Source organism: Homo sapiens, chromosome 2 (genome assembly GCF_000001405.40).
Source record: "Homo sapiens chromosome 2, GRCh38.p14 Primary Assembly".
In the NCBI taxonomy this organism is placed as follows: domain Eukaryota; kingdom Metazoa; phylum Chordata; class Mammalia; order Primates; family Hominidae; genus Homo; species Homo sapiens.
The window spans coordinates 240359444-240374975 of NC_000002.12; the positions used below are offsets into that span (position 1 = coordinate 240359444).

Here is a 15532-nt window from a genome sequence, read left to right on the forward strand (position 1 = left end):
CCCCCACCCATCTTTCTCTCATTACCAAATCCAAGGGTGGGGTGGGGCAGGGAGAGCCCTAGGCTCAAGACAGTGGGTCTCAGGGGACTGAGGATCAGAAACAGAGAAATTCACACCCACCAGCCACCTGCCCTCCCCTCCGGGCCTGGCACAAGGGACAGGGACGTGGGTCCCTGGCGGGACAAGGAGGTGTCCCCTGCCCTCCCCTCTGGGCCTGGCAGAGGGGACAGTGAGGTGGGTCCCTGATGGGACAAGGAGGTGTCCCTGCCCTCCCCTCTGGGCCTGGCAGAGGGGACAGGGACGTGGGTCCCTGGTGGGACAAGGAGGTGTCCACCTGCTCTCTCCTCTGGGCCTGGCACAGGGGAACAGGGATGTGGGCCCCTGATGCAACAAGGAGGAGTCCTGGAGTGGCCAGGGCCACACTCCCTGTTTGGGGGTCCTGCAGTGAAGTGGGTTCCAGGGCAGTGCTGCCCCTGCCTTTGACACACTCCAGGCTGTCCCAGGAGCCTGGGTGCCCTTGAGACCTGGTATGAAGGGTCCCATGGAGAGCCCTGGATCTGTCACACAGGACAAGCGGGAGCCCAATCAGAGGCTGGGAGCACCCCTCCAGGAGAAGGCTTGGGCAGGGGTCTTCGGCATCTGCTGAGGGCCCTGAGTGTTCACAGGCTTCTCAACCACACAAGGAGCAGAGGGATGGGGCTGCTCATTCTTTTACATTCTGATTAGAAAGCACGTAGTAGCCCACAGAGTGGCTGATGAAATGCTGGTTCCCCCTTAAACACGTATTGATTTCTGAAACTGTATGTGAGGTCCAGGGACCTAGGCCAAGGGTATCTAAAAGGGGCAGTGAACCACTTCATGCTACTTAGAGATGAATCCTCTCTAGATAGCATGAGGCAGCATCAGGAGGAGCTGGCATCCTCCACCACCCCACTTTGGACAGATTTTTCTAAGCCACCAGAACTTGAGACTAAAGACCTAGGCTCAAACCCTCAAAGGAAAGATCTCAATCTCTTTACAGTATCTCAGGGATGAGGAGAGGACCCAGCAGGCTCTCAGTCAAACCCCAGAGAGACATGCTTAAGAAACAGGGAAGGACAGAGGCAGACTGAGTCTCATCAAAGACACCACTTGACTGGGACTCAGCTCCATTCCCAGCTAGGTTTATATGATAATCCTCTCACCCTATTCCCCTCACAGGAAAACACAAAAGATGATGCCATCTAGAGTCTCTATAATTCCTTTATACAGAGAGTTTGGCATAAAGGAGGTAAAGAAGCAGGAAAATGCAAACAATGATCTAGAAGAAAAAGGTCAATAGAAGTAGACCCACAGATGATTGATTCCAAAGTTGGCAGTGGCAGAGACAAGCACTTCAAAATAAGTGTGACTCATATGTCAGAGAAATGAGAGGAAAAGATAGGCAAAGCTGAAAATAGAAAATTACAGCAGAACATTGGAATCTGTGAAAAGTCATCAAATAATACTGAAAAACATTATTTTTGGAATTAAGAACCTATTGGATGTATTTAATAGATGTTTGAACACAGCAGATCACAGAATTATTGCACTTGAATCAGATCAATTGAAAACATCCAAGATGAAACACAGAGAAAAGAAATCATTTTTAAAGAAAAGGAAACATAAAAGGAAAGCAGAACGCAGCAGAAGAGATGCATGGGACCCGGTAACAGGGCATCTGAAGGCGCCCTCCACGGTGGACCAGGCTGTTCTGCTACAAGACCGTGGTGAGACAAACGCAGGGCAGTTGTGTAAACACACAGGAACCTTTACATCAGTTTGACAGAATACTTTCATGTCTGTTCAGTCTGGGAATCGGACCTAATATACATGTAACTGGAACCTCGGAAAGAGAAGAGAGAGAAGGAGGGAGAAGCAACATTGAAAGAGGTGATGGCTGAGAATTTCTTAGAACTGATGAAGACCTCAGCAGGGATTCAGGAAGCTCAACAAACCCAAGGAGAATGGAGAAGGGTGGGAGCAGGAAGCAAATGGGCAGGGGAGCCTCTCGGCCTCTGGGCCCTGCGGGGTAGTTGTTCAGCAAGCAGCCACACTCAGGGCTTCTTCCTCCTGCCCGAGCCTCTGCCCACTTCTGAGAGGGGCATTCCAGGGGCTGGTGGGATCTGCTGATCTATGATTAGGATTCCAGCACTATCACCAAAAGGAGGATACCAGAAGGAAGAAGAGACAAACTTTTCCCACAGTTGAGGAAACCCCATTCCAGACATCAACCCACCCCCATAGTGACCTGGTTGTACAGAACTCCGCACGCTCGCAGAAACATCACTGACCCCAGAGGCAGCAGAGACTGAAGGACAATGGGCTTTGTTGGACAACCCAGATATCCCTGCACAGGCAGGGTGTACACAACTACACCAGCAGCCGAGAATGTCTGCAGGGCCCAGAGATGTGTGCAGGCCCAGTGGAGCAGGTGCCGGGAGGCTGAGGGTGGCGAAGATGGGGGGAGGAAGTCGACATCACCATGCATGGAGATGTGGGCCTCGCTGCTGCAAGGGTAGGGCGGGGAGGCCCACAGGCTTCGAAAGTGCTCCCTGTGGGAACTAGCACCCAAGAGACGGATGTGTGTGGGTGTTCACCTGTATGGGTGTCTGTGTGACTGTGTGTGTGTGTTCATCTGTGTGTGTGACTGTGTGTTTGTGTGTGCATTTGTGTGTTCATCTGTGTGTATGCTGTGTGATATCCTTGGGCCAATCAGGAAAATTAATCAGGCAAAGCTTACCTTTCTGAAATAATGCTATTCATTTACACACTTACACATTCATTTCCTTGTTTGTTGTATTGACTTCTCCATAAGGAAGTGAGCCCTAAGAGAACAGAGACCTTGGGCATCCTATTCATGGGGTGGCCCCACACCTGGAGGAGCGCCAGGTCATCTCTGCAATGGGCACACGTGTGTGGACACCCCCGGAGGGTCACACCTGTGTCCTGACATCCATCCACGTGGTCTGGGACCTGCCGCTCACGTTCCCCAGGGCCTTGTTGCACAGAGTAACTCGCCCTCGAGGAAGTGCCCTGTGGAGGACAGGAGGTGCTGGAGAGGTCCCTGTGGAGGACAGGAGGTGCTGGAGAGGCCCCTGTGAAGGACAGGAGGTGCTGGAGAGGCCAGTCCCTGTGGAGGACAGGAGGTGCTGGAGAGGCCAATCCCTGCAGAGAAGCGGGGGTTTCTGAGAGGTGGGTGCATTGGTGTCTGGATGACGGAAGACAGCTCCAGAGGGCCTCACACCAGGCAGGAGGGAGATTAGGAACCCAGGGAGTCCAGGAAGGAGCACCCACAGAGGCTGAGTGTCTGGGTGCTCTTCCTGGAATAAGGAAGGAGTCACACAATGCAGGCAGCTTTAACCCTGCCCCCTCCTGCTCTGCAATCCCCTTGGGTTCTCACCCCCACGCTACTGGGGGTTTCCGACCACCTGCCCAGCCCTGGGAAGCCGTGTTGTGCACAGAGAGGCCGGTCAGGACCCGAGGCTGTGTCCGCCCACATCCATGGGGCGAGGGAGTGTCGTGGGGCAGTGCCAGCTCCCTACCAAGGGTGGCTGTGCCTGTGATGCCAGAGCCAGCTGCCATGTGATGGCTCAGGCAGGTGAGAGCTGAGCCTGGTGGCTGGAGGCCGAGGTGAAAGCTGAGGGTCTCAGGAACGCACAGGCTGCTGGTCCCCAGGGCCAGGGGCTGCAGCACGAAGCAAGTCTGGGCTCCTCTGGCTCTGGTGGCAAAGTCACAGGAAACCCTGGACAGCCCAGCTGCGGGCGAGCAGGAGGGCGTTTGCCCCTCAACAGTCCAAACAAAATGTTTTCCCAAAAGCCAGCCAGGAGTGGAGGCTTGGAGGTTGGACTGCGTCTGGGAGTGGCACTGCTGCTGCTGCCAGCAACGGGGTCCCGCTAAGCCAGGCACACTCCTGCCTCTGGGTGTGGGGGTAGGAGAGGCAAAGAGCCCCTCAGTGGCCCTGCTCCCCACCCCCCACCTTCTCCCAGGCTGGGGCACGCATCACAGGTCAATGACACATCGGGATCAGGAATTAGAAGCAATTCGGGTGCAAAGGGACCCTGGCGTGTCTGGCCCCATCCTTGGCAGTTGAGACGGTCATGGTACGGAGGGGGCACCTTGACCAAGGTCACAGCGGACGCAGACCACAGAGCCTGGGAGCACGAGCTCCTGGCCCACACAGCGCTCCCACGGCACTGCCCCCTGAGTTTCTCTTTCTGTGTAAACTTGGGGCTTAGAAGTAATTGGAAATTGATTTTCTTTTACTTTGTGGTCCTTGGATTTAAAAGGATATAGTTTCAGGTTATAGCTGGATCTCCCCGGCCAGCCACATCTCCCCAAGGACAGCAGCTGCACCTCGGACCCATCCCCCGCCTGCCTGTCCCCGGCAAAGAGCTGGACGCCCAGCATGTCCTCACCAGCACAGTCATTTGAGTTCCCAAACCCCACGTCCCTCATGGATGCTTATCGTGGAAAATCTTCCTGGCTGGCTCCCACCGCTTTTAGAAAAGAAACCATAAATATTAGCTGGGAATTTGAGGTCCAGCCCCACCTCCTCCACACCAGCACATCAAATGTAATAATTCAGGCGGACGCCCAGCACCTGGCGGGCAGATGAGAAGGTTTCGGCTCACAGGAGCTCCCGCACCACTGATGCTGCTCCAGCAGTGTCCTGCTGCTAGACCGCCCTCCCCCATGTCAAAGCGAAACGTGCTCCTGAGCTTTCCACCGCGATGCTTCCTAACCCAGATCCTTCCACCTGGAATGCCCTTGCTCTCCATCCTCCACTGGCCCGGCTGAGATTCTGCCATGGAACGGGGGCATCACACCAACCACTGCAGGCTGGGCAACCCCTCCCTGCTCGGCTCATGGAACCCTCACAGTAGGTGAGGTGAGAATGCCCCAGGTGCAAAGGGGAAGTGGGCCCAGAGAGGCTGAGCGACTCTGCAAACCTTGCACAGCGTCAGGCGTATCCTTGCTCTGCTCTGTCAGCTTTCAGAGACCTTGCTGATAACCTCAGCCGGACTTGAGTCTCCACCCACAGCCGGCCCGGCCCAGGCTCAGAACCTCCAAGCCCCCAGGCACCCCAAGAATGCCATTCCCCTCAGCCGTGTGCAACATGCTCATGGAGGCCTGGCAGCTGCAGGGGCTGGGGGTACTGGGGCATCACTGTTCATGAATCCGGAAGACAGAGTAGGCATGAAGCTCCCGAGCCGGCCTGTGCCAGCCCCCACACCCCCCTTCAGCCACCCCTCTGGGCGCCTCCCGCTTGGCTGGCAAAGCAAAGCCAGGAGCCCTGCAGCAAGCTGGCCTGCGGTCGAAACAGAACCACCTCGCCGCTCTCTGGAGGCTCCTGGGCTCGCCAGCCTGGTGGTGGGTAATTGGGTAGGACTCGGCCGCCAGTGAGGCTGGAGGAGATGAAGCAGAAATCCCCAGCCCCCACACCCAGCCCCGCACTCCCGCGCTGCTGCCTTGGGGCGGAGGGCCAAATCTCACTACAAGCACACCACGGGCGTCCCTTCTTTGTAGGGGATCAAAGAGAACCCCAATCTACTCTCTGCACCTTCACCACCAAAAGTCAGCCAGAGGCGACTTGCCCTCACAGGCCCTTGCCAGGCCCTCCCCAGCCCTCACTACATTCTCCCAGGGAACTGGGAACACCTTATTTGGGAAAACGGGAAAAGAGGAGTCCAGCCCCCTGAAAATGGGCCCAGGCCACTTCCTAAGACCCATGGCCCATGGCCTTTGTCCCCAAGCAGGCCTGAGCCCCGGCACCTCTGCTTCCCCACATGGGAGACAGTGCGGCTCTGCCCACCTCGCCTCTGCCCACCTCCCCTGGTCAGGAGCCCCAACCTGAAGGGAAACTGCGTCCTGCCCTGCCCCCTCCTGCTGTGTGTACCCCACACAGCATCCTGGGGTGGGCCTGGCGGGCCCCTCCTCAGCTCCCAGACACTGCACACGGATGTCTGGGCCGGGCGGAAGCTCCGGAGTGGCTCTGAGGAAGGCCTGGGGGCAGCGGCGTCTCTGGGCTCCACCAGCAGGATCTGGGGCACCATCCACAGCCCAACTTTATGGCTGCAGGCCCGTGGCCCCGCCTGGCCCAAGCATAAAGGAGGCACTCTCGGCTGCGCTCCCGCCGCTCCGCCCTGTGGCTTGGACGCCTCGAGACTGCACAGTCTTGGGGCCCGCTTGCTCCCTCCTCAGTGCTGAGCCTCGCAGGGCGGGCTTGGGGGCTAGAGGGGCCCTCGCAGGGCCTTGACCAAGCTTGGGCGAGATGGCCCTTCCCCGTGGGCACCCACCCCTCTCCTGGAGCAAAGCTGAACGTGGCCTGGGGGCCAATGCTAAGCCCAGGTCTCTTGAGTGTTATTTGGAAACTGAACCTGGTTTTGGTCTCTTACAGGCTAATCTGAGCCCTAAAAAGCACAGAAACTTGGGGAGCCTCTCTCCTGTCATCCAAGACGCCACCTCCATGAGGCCCAGCGGCACTGACCACAGGCCCGAGGACACCCTGTCACCTCTGACCACAACTTGGAGCCCAGACACTCCCACCAGGAGGTGGCCCCCAGCCAGAGAGCTGCTCCCCGGGCTCCCTTCATGCTCCCTGACCCCCAGGACCTAGAGACCCTCCTGACCTCAGCCTCCCACCCTCGCCATACCCTGGGCCCCCACCACGGGCTGACAAGGAGGTACCAAACAGCAGCCAAGCCAGAAGATGGCCAGCCTGCCCTCCCCAGCACTACCCTCCCCGGCCAGGCAGCACGTGCCCAGCAAGCTGAGCCATGTGGTCCTGGCAGCATGACCAGGGGGCCTGTCTCCTTCCTGAACTCAGAGGCAGAGCCTGCAGCAGGAAGCAGAGGCTCCCAGAAACCTGACATTCCAGTGACAGCCGGGATCACCAGGGCAGGACGGCTCCCCAACCCAGGCTCGTCCTGGGGGAAGTCGGGGGTATCCAGCCAGCAGCCTCTGCCCTGTGGGGACAGGACATCTCTGGTGAGAGATTTTCCTCATCTTCCTGTAGGGTGTTTCTTCTCCTCCCCAAGGCCAAGGTGGGTTCTGGGGACCCCTGGGCTCTGCCAGTGCAGGCTGCAAACCTGAACGTCCTGGGCTTGGGGCTTGGAGCACGGAGGACAGAGTGCTGGTGTCAATGTCGGGCAGGGGAAGACCCTGGAGAGCCTGGGTTGGCCTTCAGGGACACCCCCACCCAGAGGCCGCAGGGATCATCTGGAAGGCTAGCTGACACTCCATGGAGAGGGACCAGGCAGTGACGGGAGCCCTGGCAGGACTGAAGGAGACTTTGTCGGCAGAGGGGCCTGGGGAGAGTGAAGACCACCACCCGTTTCCCACACACAGCCGTCCAGAGGGGCTGAGCCTTGAAGAGGGGGGAGCGGGGATGTCTTGAGGCCAGAAACCACCCCAGCATGCACGCACATGCACCTGCATACATGCACACGCACATGCACACATGAATGCACGCACAAATGCACACACGCACATGCACACGTGAATACACACACGTGAACGCACACACGAATATACACATGCACATGCACACAATGTGAATGCACACACGAATACACACATGCACATGCAAATGCACACACACGAATGCACACACGCACATGCACATGCAAATGCACACACACGAAGGCACACGCACATGCACACACGAATACACACATGTGAACGCACACGCGAATGCACACACGCACACATGCAAATGCACACACGCAAATGCACACACATGAAGGCACACAAGCACATGCAAATGCACACACACACGAATGCACATGCACATGCACACATAAATGCACACACAAGCACACTCCCCAGCAGTGGGGATGCTGCTCTCCCTGTGCTGCAAGGAGGGAAAGCGATGGGTGTTTTGCGGGACTGGAAGTGAAGCGTTAATGTTGGCTGGATGTTCAATCACCCAAAAGGCCCAAAAGCCTCAGCCCTGGCCCAGCTGCCATGCAAGGCCAAGAAGAGGGGACTCAGCTGAGCAGGGGTGAAGGGAGGGGTTGGGGGGCACATTTAACCCCAGCCCTAAGTCAGGGCTCCTCCATGAACCCAGAGAGTCCACACAGGAGGATGAAGACACCGTGCGCTGTGCCTCAGACGGGGCCATCTCCCAGGTTTCTCTACCTGGCCCAGGCATCCTTTTGGTCACAGCCCCTGACATCTGCTGTGGGGCACAATCAACCCTCAAGGGGGGCTCAGGGCTTCCCCTCCTGAGAGGGTTGGGGTGATGCAGCCCAGCAGAGAACCCATGGGAGGCTCCCACTGCTTTCCACTGCGGAGCCCCACACCGGCTTGGCTCCTCCCTCTCCACGGGCATCCGGCCTGGGTCCCGCGGACGCCTCTTCTTACGCAGGGAGGGGAGTCCCTTGCTGTTTCTGCAGCCAGAGGATCCTGCTGGGCACGGGTGCTGCACGAGGCTCCTTGCTAGAGTGGAGAGCCACCGCTGTGTCCCCATGCCTCCCTAGAAACATGGGTGTGGCCGCACCTGGAGGCCCAGCTGGAAGGGGCCCAGCTGGGCACAGCCCCTACAAGCTGCTCGGGGGCCTGAGTGGGACTGAGACTGTGTGGACCTCCGGCCACCAACTCCCAGAGCCACCCCTAGGCTGGACCTCAGGGGTTGGCTGTTACGGAGGTGTGATGGTCGAAATCAGGAGTTGTCCAACCTTTTGGCTTCCCTGGGCTTGGACCACATTAGAAGAAGAATTGTCTTGGGCCACACATAAAATACACTAACACTAACGATGGCTGACGAGCTAAAGCAAACAAAAAAAATCACGAAACAACTCATAATGTTTTAAGAAAGTTTATGAATTTGTGTTGGGTCGAATTCAAAACCACCCTGGGCCACATGGGGCCCACGGGCCTCGGGTTGGACAAGCTTGATCTAAATATGTGTGTTCCCCCAAAATGCACATGTTGACCTGTCCCCCAGTGCAGTAATATTCAGAGGTGAGGCCTTTAGGAGGTGATTAGGTTGTGAGAGTGGAGGCCCGTGAATGGGACTGGTGCCCTTAGAAAAGAGGCCGCCCCTTCCACAGAGGGAGCACCCAGCGAGAAGGCACTGTCTATGGAAAGCGGCCCTCACCAGACACAGTCTTCCAGCACCTTCATCTTGGACTTCGCGACTTCCAAACTGTGAGAGATACATTTCTCTTGTTTCTACACCACCAGGTCTATGGTAATTTTGTTATACCAAGACAAACAGCCAAGACAGGCAGAGCCTGGAGGGGTGGGGTGAGCTCAGGGGTGCCCAGGGCAGAGCCTGGGGACAGAGTAAGCTCAGGGGCACCCAGGGCAGAGCCTGGGGGCACGAGAGGACAGGCCTGTTTCCCCTGCAGCGAGCATTCTCTGTCCCCCACTGCATTGCACAACAGGCTGGGCACAGGCAACCCTGGCTGCTCTCTGGCTCCGTGCCTGGCAAGGCCCATCACCTTGTGCCCAGGGTCAGGCCACTCCACGGGCAGAGTCTGAGCTGCTCTCAGCATTGTCTTGGGGCCAACTCCTGGTGTCAGGTGTCTCCCGGACCTAGGCTGGAACGTGGGGCCACTCAGGCGTCTCTGACAGGTAGGATCCAGGCACAGGTGGCTCACGATTGATCGACCGTGTGGGGGTTAAATGTCTCCCTAATAAGCCCTCCCACACCTCCTTTCCAGCAGCTGCTAAATGCCCTCAGGGCACCTCATCTGCACAAATTAAAGTCTCCTGACCCTTGTCTGTGCAACCAAACTTCCTGAAGGCAGCTTCTGTCTCGTGTCTGCTCAGAACACCACAGCGGGTCCCACCGCCGTGATGCTAAGAGTCATCTGACCTGTCCCCACCTGCCCTTCCTGCTTCACCTGCCCCACCCACGCTTGCATCCCCCATTCACCTGGTCCTGAAGCTGGGAACCCACCTCCCTACACTCAGCCCAACAAAGAGCAGCCATCCCCAAGCCCTGAGTGACTATGGCCCCCCCACCCGCCCCCCCACCCACATCTGGTTCTGCAGAGAGCTGCATGCCTCCAGGTCAGGGCTGCCTGCTCCAAGGTCACCGGTACCCAGTCCAAGGTCGGGGGCATCCTATCTAAGGTCGGGGGACCACATGCCTGCAGGTCAGGGCTGCCTGCACCAAGGTCAGGGCTGCCTGTTTGAAGTTGGAACCAGACCTGATTTACCAACACTGTGCCCAGTCAGGGCCTGGACACAGCAGGTTTTAATATCTGTCCAAGGAATGAAGGCAGAAGTAAAGGAAGCCTTCTCCATTCTTTCAGCAGCCTTGGACGTACACTGGGCAGGGCGAGGGACACTGGGCATGCTTTTCTGAGCAGCAAGGACTGGAGTCCCCGACCAACAACCTCAGGGACCAGCCTCAGGGCATGGGAGGACTTGAGGGAGGAGGACCCTGGGAAAACCTTCCAGAGCCCTCTCTGCCAGAGAGAGGTGTGCCTTGCCCAAGATCACTTATCCTGGAGGGACACGAGCTGACACAGACACGGCCCAGGACAACCCTGGCAGCCTCTCGCCTCCTGGACTCCCTGAGTCTCCAGCTTTGCCGTGATGCCAGGGTCCCGGTCCAAGGCCAGCCTCCTCTCAGCCAGGCAGCCCACCCCAGCCCAGCCAGGACCAGCTGTGTCTGGGGGAGGAGGGTGGCCCTGCGGTGGGGGCTGTGGGGAAGGGGCAGATGTATGACAAGAGGGGCATTGTCCACACTCCTGACCAGACTTCCAGGAGCTCCAGGGGCGGGAGCAGCAAGGCAGGCTCTGAGCTGCAGGATCCAAAAATAGCCTGGGGTGCGGCCAGTGGCCAGGGTTGGGCAGCTGACTTCACGCCACAAGCATCCCGGGAAGGCTCAGCTGTCTGTGGCCGCACCTGCTGGGCCTCTACCCGGAATGCTGCCCTCAGCGGGATGGGCCTGTAACGGGCCCCTGGGCCACCCACATGCAGAAAGCCCAGCTCCTCCTGAGGCCCCAGAAGCACCCTCGGGTGCCTGGAGGCTGCTGTGTTTCTCGCCCTGACTTGTCCATGGACCCTGGGACAGCCACGGCCCTCACCAGGCCTGGGCCACTTTGCAAGCTGTGGGGGGTGCTGTCTCCCCATTGAGAGTCCCTGGAGATTTGCCCCACGGGTTGGGGAATGACAGCATGACCCCCACCTACACAAGGCAGAGACCCTTGTTCTCCTGGAGTCAGTGGCCCTGTGGGCCCCAACGCTGGGCTCGGGAGAGATTCGCCACATCCAATTGAAAAATGAAGTGGGTGAGCCAGGCACAGTGGCTCATGCCTATAATCCCAGCACTTTGAGAGGCCGAGGCGGGCAGGTCACTTGTGGTCAGAAGTTTGAGACCAGCCTGGCCAACACGGTGAAACCCCTTCTCTGCCAAAAACACAAAAATCAGCCGGGCGTGGTGGTGTGTGCCTGTAATCCCAGCTACTCAGGAGGCTGAGGCAGGAGAAGAGATTGAACCCGGGAGGCAGAGGTTGCCGAGATCGCACCACTGCACTCCAGCCTGGGCGACAGAGTGAGAGCCTGTCTCAAAAAAAGAAAAATGAAGTGGGTGACAACGTTTCATTTCATTCCTGATGCAATTCACGTTTCCTCCGCAAAGGCTTCAGGGCCACGTGGACCATCCACAGGACCCTGGGTATTCCCTGCAGCCCCCAAGCCCCGCCATGGCTGACAGAGGGTGAGGGGCTTGCCCTGGAAGGGTTGGAGCTGGGGACAAGCATCTTCTGGGACCCGGCATCAGAAACAGCTCTTAAGGGACAGACAGTAAATTCCTGCAGCTCAGCCAAATGCTGTGGGGGACATGACCAGAGGAAGGCGGTTCCACACCAGGGAGGGCCTCTGGGAGGCCATGGCCTTTCCAGGGACGAGAAGCAGGCAAGGAAGCCTTGTGTACCAGGGGAGGTGCTCCCGACAGGCTAGCAGCAGAGGCAAAGGCCCAGGGCAGCAGCGGTCAGCTTGGGGTCCGAGGACAGCTAGGACATTGGTGTGGCTGCCGCTGAGGGAACCAGACAGAGGATGGCCACACGTGGGGACCCTGAATCTTATTCTGATGTCAAGCCGGTCAGGGTGTGAGCAGAGACAGGCGCTCCCTTCCCTTGCTTGGGATCCAGCCTTCCCCTGGAAGGGGCCCTGCAGGCTGCCGAGGGGCAGGGAGGAGGCAGAGGCAGATACAGAGGCTGACGCAGAGGCATAGCACTGCTGGCCTTGAGTGGCGGGTGCCCCGGGGCTCTGGGATCCATCCTGTTGGGGATACAATGAAGCCACAGCAGGCCAATGAGTTGAAGGACAGGAGTCAGGAGAGCAGTGAGGGCGAGGTGGGCTCGGGTGTGGCGGGCCCTGGACAGCTGGCCACTGTTTCTGGGACTTTGGATGGTGGCGTGGAGCCTGGCATTTTGTCCTGATGATGCCCGCCGTGCCTGGGGCTGGCCGAGTCTTCCCCGCTGGCCTGGGCCCCCAAGCTAGGGCTGCCCTCTCTGCCAGTCTGAGCTGAGTTTCTAGGCTGAGTTGGTGGCTGCCTCTCTGGGTCTTCTGAGACTTCACCAGGTAGTCTCTGCAGAAGCTTCTGGAACTTGCTGCAGCCATGACTGCCCCAGAAATAAGAGAGGTGCCCTTCTCTGCCCTTCACCCACCCTTGAACACTGGCCCAGCACCAGCCTGAGAGGGTCCTGGGCAGGGCCAAGCTTGCAGGACCCCAGAGGAGCCCAGAAGTGGTCCTGGTGGGGGTGCTGGGGCGTGGGGGTCCCCTGGGCTGGCCACCAGAGGGTTTCCTCCAGACCGCTGTGTGCCTGGGCTGGGGGAGGGCCTGGGCTGGGAACAAGGAGGATCTGTGCTCTGGGCCTGGGCAGGAGCCAGTTTGGGGCCCTCCTTGGGCCTTTGAAGTCCCAGGCGCACCCACCCTGAGGCCTGGGTAGGGCAGAGGCCTGGTGAAGCCCCACAGAGGTTTCTTGCGGAGGAAATCTCAAGTCCCTGAGAGGGGCAGGTGGGAGAGGGATGTGGGAGGGATGGGAAGAGGGGGCAACGAGAGCAGGCTGTGGTGGGGGGAGGGGCGTGGCAGAGGGGCAGGGCATGGAGGGGGCAGGGCTGTAGACAGGAAAAGGAGCACGGAGGAGGACAGGGCTGTAGTTGAGGGGCAGGGGTGTGGAGGAGGGGAGGTCATGGAGGGCAAGATGTGGAGGGGGGCCAGGCCATGGAGGGAGCAGGGTGTGGAGACGGCAGGACTGTGGTAGGGGTGAAGGGGCATAGAGGAGGGCAGGCCTGTGGTTAGGGGCATGGGTGTGGAGGATGAGCACGGCAAGGAGGGAGCAGGGCTGTGGTGGGGGGAGGGGCATGGGGAAGGACAGGGCACGGAGGGCAGGGCCATGGAGGGTGGGAAGTGGTGGGTGGGCTGTGGAGGTCCCCCCAGGGCCACTCCTGTTGGGGCTGCTGTAAGGAAACCCCATGAACTGCGTGGCTTGTAAACATCAGGAGTTTATTTCTCACAGCCCAGAGGCTGGAGGCCGGAGATCAAGGTGCCAGCCTGGTCGGGGTCTGGGGAGGGCTGTCCTCTGAGTTGTGGATTTCCGACTTCTCATTCCGTCCTTAAAGCGGCAGAAGGAAGGGGAAGGAGCCCTCTGGCCTCTTCTTACAAGGTCACGGGACCCATTCATGACAGCAGCGCCTTTGTGACCGCATCACCGCCCAAAGCCCCACCTCCTAAAACCGTCATATTGGGGTTCGATTTCAACATAAGAATTCGGGAGCTGGGCGTGGTGGCTCACACCTGTCATCCCAGAGCTTTGGGAGGCTGAGGTGGGAGGATCGCTGGAGCCCAGGAGTTTGAGGCTGCAGTGAGCCATGATTATGCCACTGTACTCCAGCCTAGACGACAGAGGGAGACCCTGTCTAAAGAATTTTGGGGCAACACAAACATTCAGTCCATAATACTCCCCATGGACAGGCCACGCTTCTTGCCTCAGCTTGGATCTTCTAGGCCAATGCAGGTCCCAGCCCAGCAGCCTCAGCGGACCGAGTCTCGGGGGCCGGCAGGGGTCTGTACCTGCTTCCCCGGCCCCTTTACCGCCCACCACTCTGCTCAGGTCTCTGGACCTGTGGGCTTTCCAGGCTCCTTAGACCAAAGCCCACCAGCCCGAGCCCAGCATCTGCGCAGGTGCTGTGGGGACCAGGACATGGGTGCTGGGGTGCACGGCCTCTGTGATAATCCGGGACACAGCACTCGGACGGAGCCTGCACTGTTTCTTAAACACACACAAGGTGGCCTGGACACAGATGCTGGAGTGCGCGGCCTCTGTGACAATCCGGGACACAGCACTCAGAGGCTGCACCATTTCTTACACGCACGGGTGGTAGCCCCTTCGATGGACAGTACTCATTCTCAGACTCTGGCTGGGCCCCTGGGGTGCTGGAACCAAGATGAGGAATCAAAAACAAGGGTCTGGGAAGTAGCCCAGGCTGAGGCTCCTAGGAGGGAGGGCGAGAAGTACCCGAGTACTAGGGCTAGCTGGACGTGTTGACCCTGCTTGGCCTCCCCTCCCAAACCCTGGACCTCAGTGAGCCTGGGTACTGGGGCTAGCTGGACGTGCTGACCCTTCCTGGCCTCCCCTCCCAACCCCTGGACCCAGGTGGACTGGGGTACCAGGGCAAGCTGGGCATGCTGACCCTGCCTGGCCTTTCTGGTCTCATTGTGACTCAGGCCTGGGGGTTCCCGAGGCTCCCAGCTTAGAGGCGGACATGGCTGTGAGGCCCTCGCCCTTTCCCACTCAGCAGGGATGAGTTCAGGGATGGCCAGGCCCCAGTGATGTCACCAAGTTGAGCTTCTGAGCTTCTGGTGCCTGTGTGGGAGCTGCAGCCCTCAGGAAGAAGTGTCCTCCCCTCCTCAAGGGACCAGAGAAGGAGGATGGGGAGGAGGCCTGGCCCGAGGTCGTCTGATGCCAGCCTGGGGCCTGGAGCAGCCTGGAGCCAGCATGCGTTCCAAGGGGAATTCCTGGGGAATGATGCAGCCGGCCTCGCTATCACAAGCTGTCATTTGAGGGAGAGCCGCACTCGGAACGCCTCCCAGCCCCAGTGCAGGAATCCATCTGGCAAGTCTGCCCTCGGACACTCACAGGACACTCTTCCAGGATCCCTGGGCCTCGGGGTGGGGCCAGGGTCTCAGGGGAGGAAGTGCCCAGATTCCTGGACGCTGGCCCCGAGGAGGGTCTGGTGGCAGCCACCTCGGTCAGGACGAGGACAGAGCGTCCAGCCCCGTGCCAGCTCAGTGGCCTCAGAATACCACAGCCACGTCCCTCCTGTCCAAGGCCCAGCAGTCCCCGGGACACTCCAAGAGCCATCCACTTTCTAGATTTGGGCTTCCCCTCCTCAGTGACCCCAGCTCCTCCCCAGAGAGCAAACCCTGAAGCAGCTCCTCTGGGGGTCTTTAAGAGGAGAATAGGACTCGTGCTATGCTCGGGGTGGACTGAAATCATGCTCATCACACTAAAGCATACTGCAACATAAAGCCAGGTGTTTGCAAATG

At 59.0% G+C, this 15532-nt stretch overlaps 4 annotated features.

Moving 5' to 3' along the window:
• Positions 2386 to 2543: a silencer, noted in NCBI's record as "fragment chr2:241301246-241301403 (GRCh37/hg19 assembly coordinates)". NCBI's record gives its function as "represses an EF-1alpha promoter that drives an FKBP-Casp9 reporter gene in an ReSE screen in K562 erythroleukemia cells {active_cell/tissue: K562}" and the evidence as "EXISTENCE:reporter gene assay evidence [ECO:0000049][PMID:32094911]".
• Positions 9119 to 14134: an enhancer, noted in NCBI's record as "VISTA enhancer hs1937". NCBI's record gives its function as "enhancer in: hindbrain (rhombencephalon)[6/9] | dorsal root ganglion[9/9] | limb[8/9] | branchial arch[7/9] | heart[8/9] | other[8/9] | ear[7/9]" and the evidence as "EXISTENCE:transgenic organism evidence [ECO:0001131][PMID:17130149]".
• Positions 10187 to 11076: an enhancer, noted in NCBI's record as "H3K4me1 hESC enhancer chr2:241309047-241309936 (GRCh37/hg19 assembly coordinates)". NCBI's record gives its function as "activates a minimal SCP1, AML or CMV promoter by ChIP-STARR-seq in naive H9 embryonic stem cells {active_cell/tissue: H9 hESC(naive)}" and the evidence as "EXISTENCE:reporter gene assay evidence [ECO:0000049][PMID:30033119]".
• Positions 14585 to 15139: an enhancer, noted in NCBI's record as "H3K4me1 hESC enhancer chr2:241313445-241313999 (GRCh37/hg19 assembly coordinates)". NCBI's record gives its function as "activates a minimal SCP1, AML or CMV promoter by ChIP-STARR-seq in naive H9 embryonic stem cells {active_cell/tissue: H9 hESC(naive)}" and the evidence as "EXISTENCE:reporter gene assay evidence [ECO:0000049][PMID:30033119]".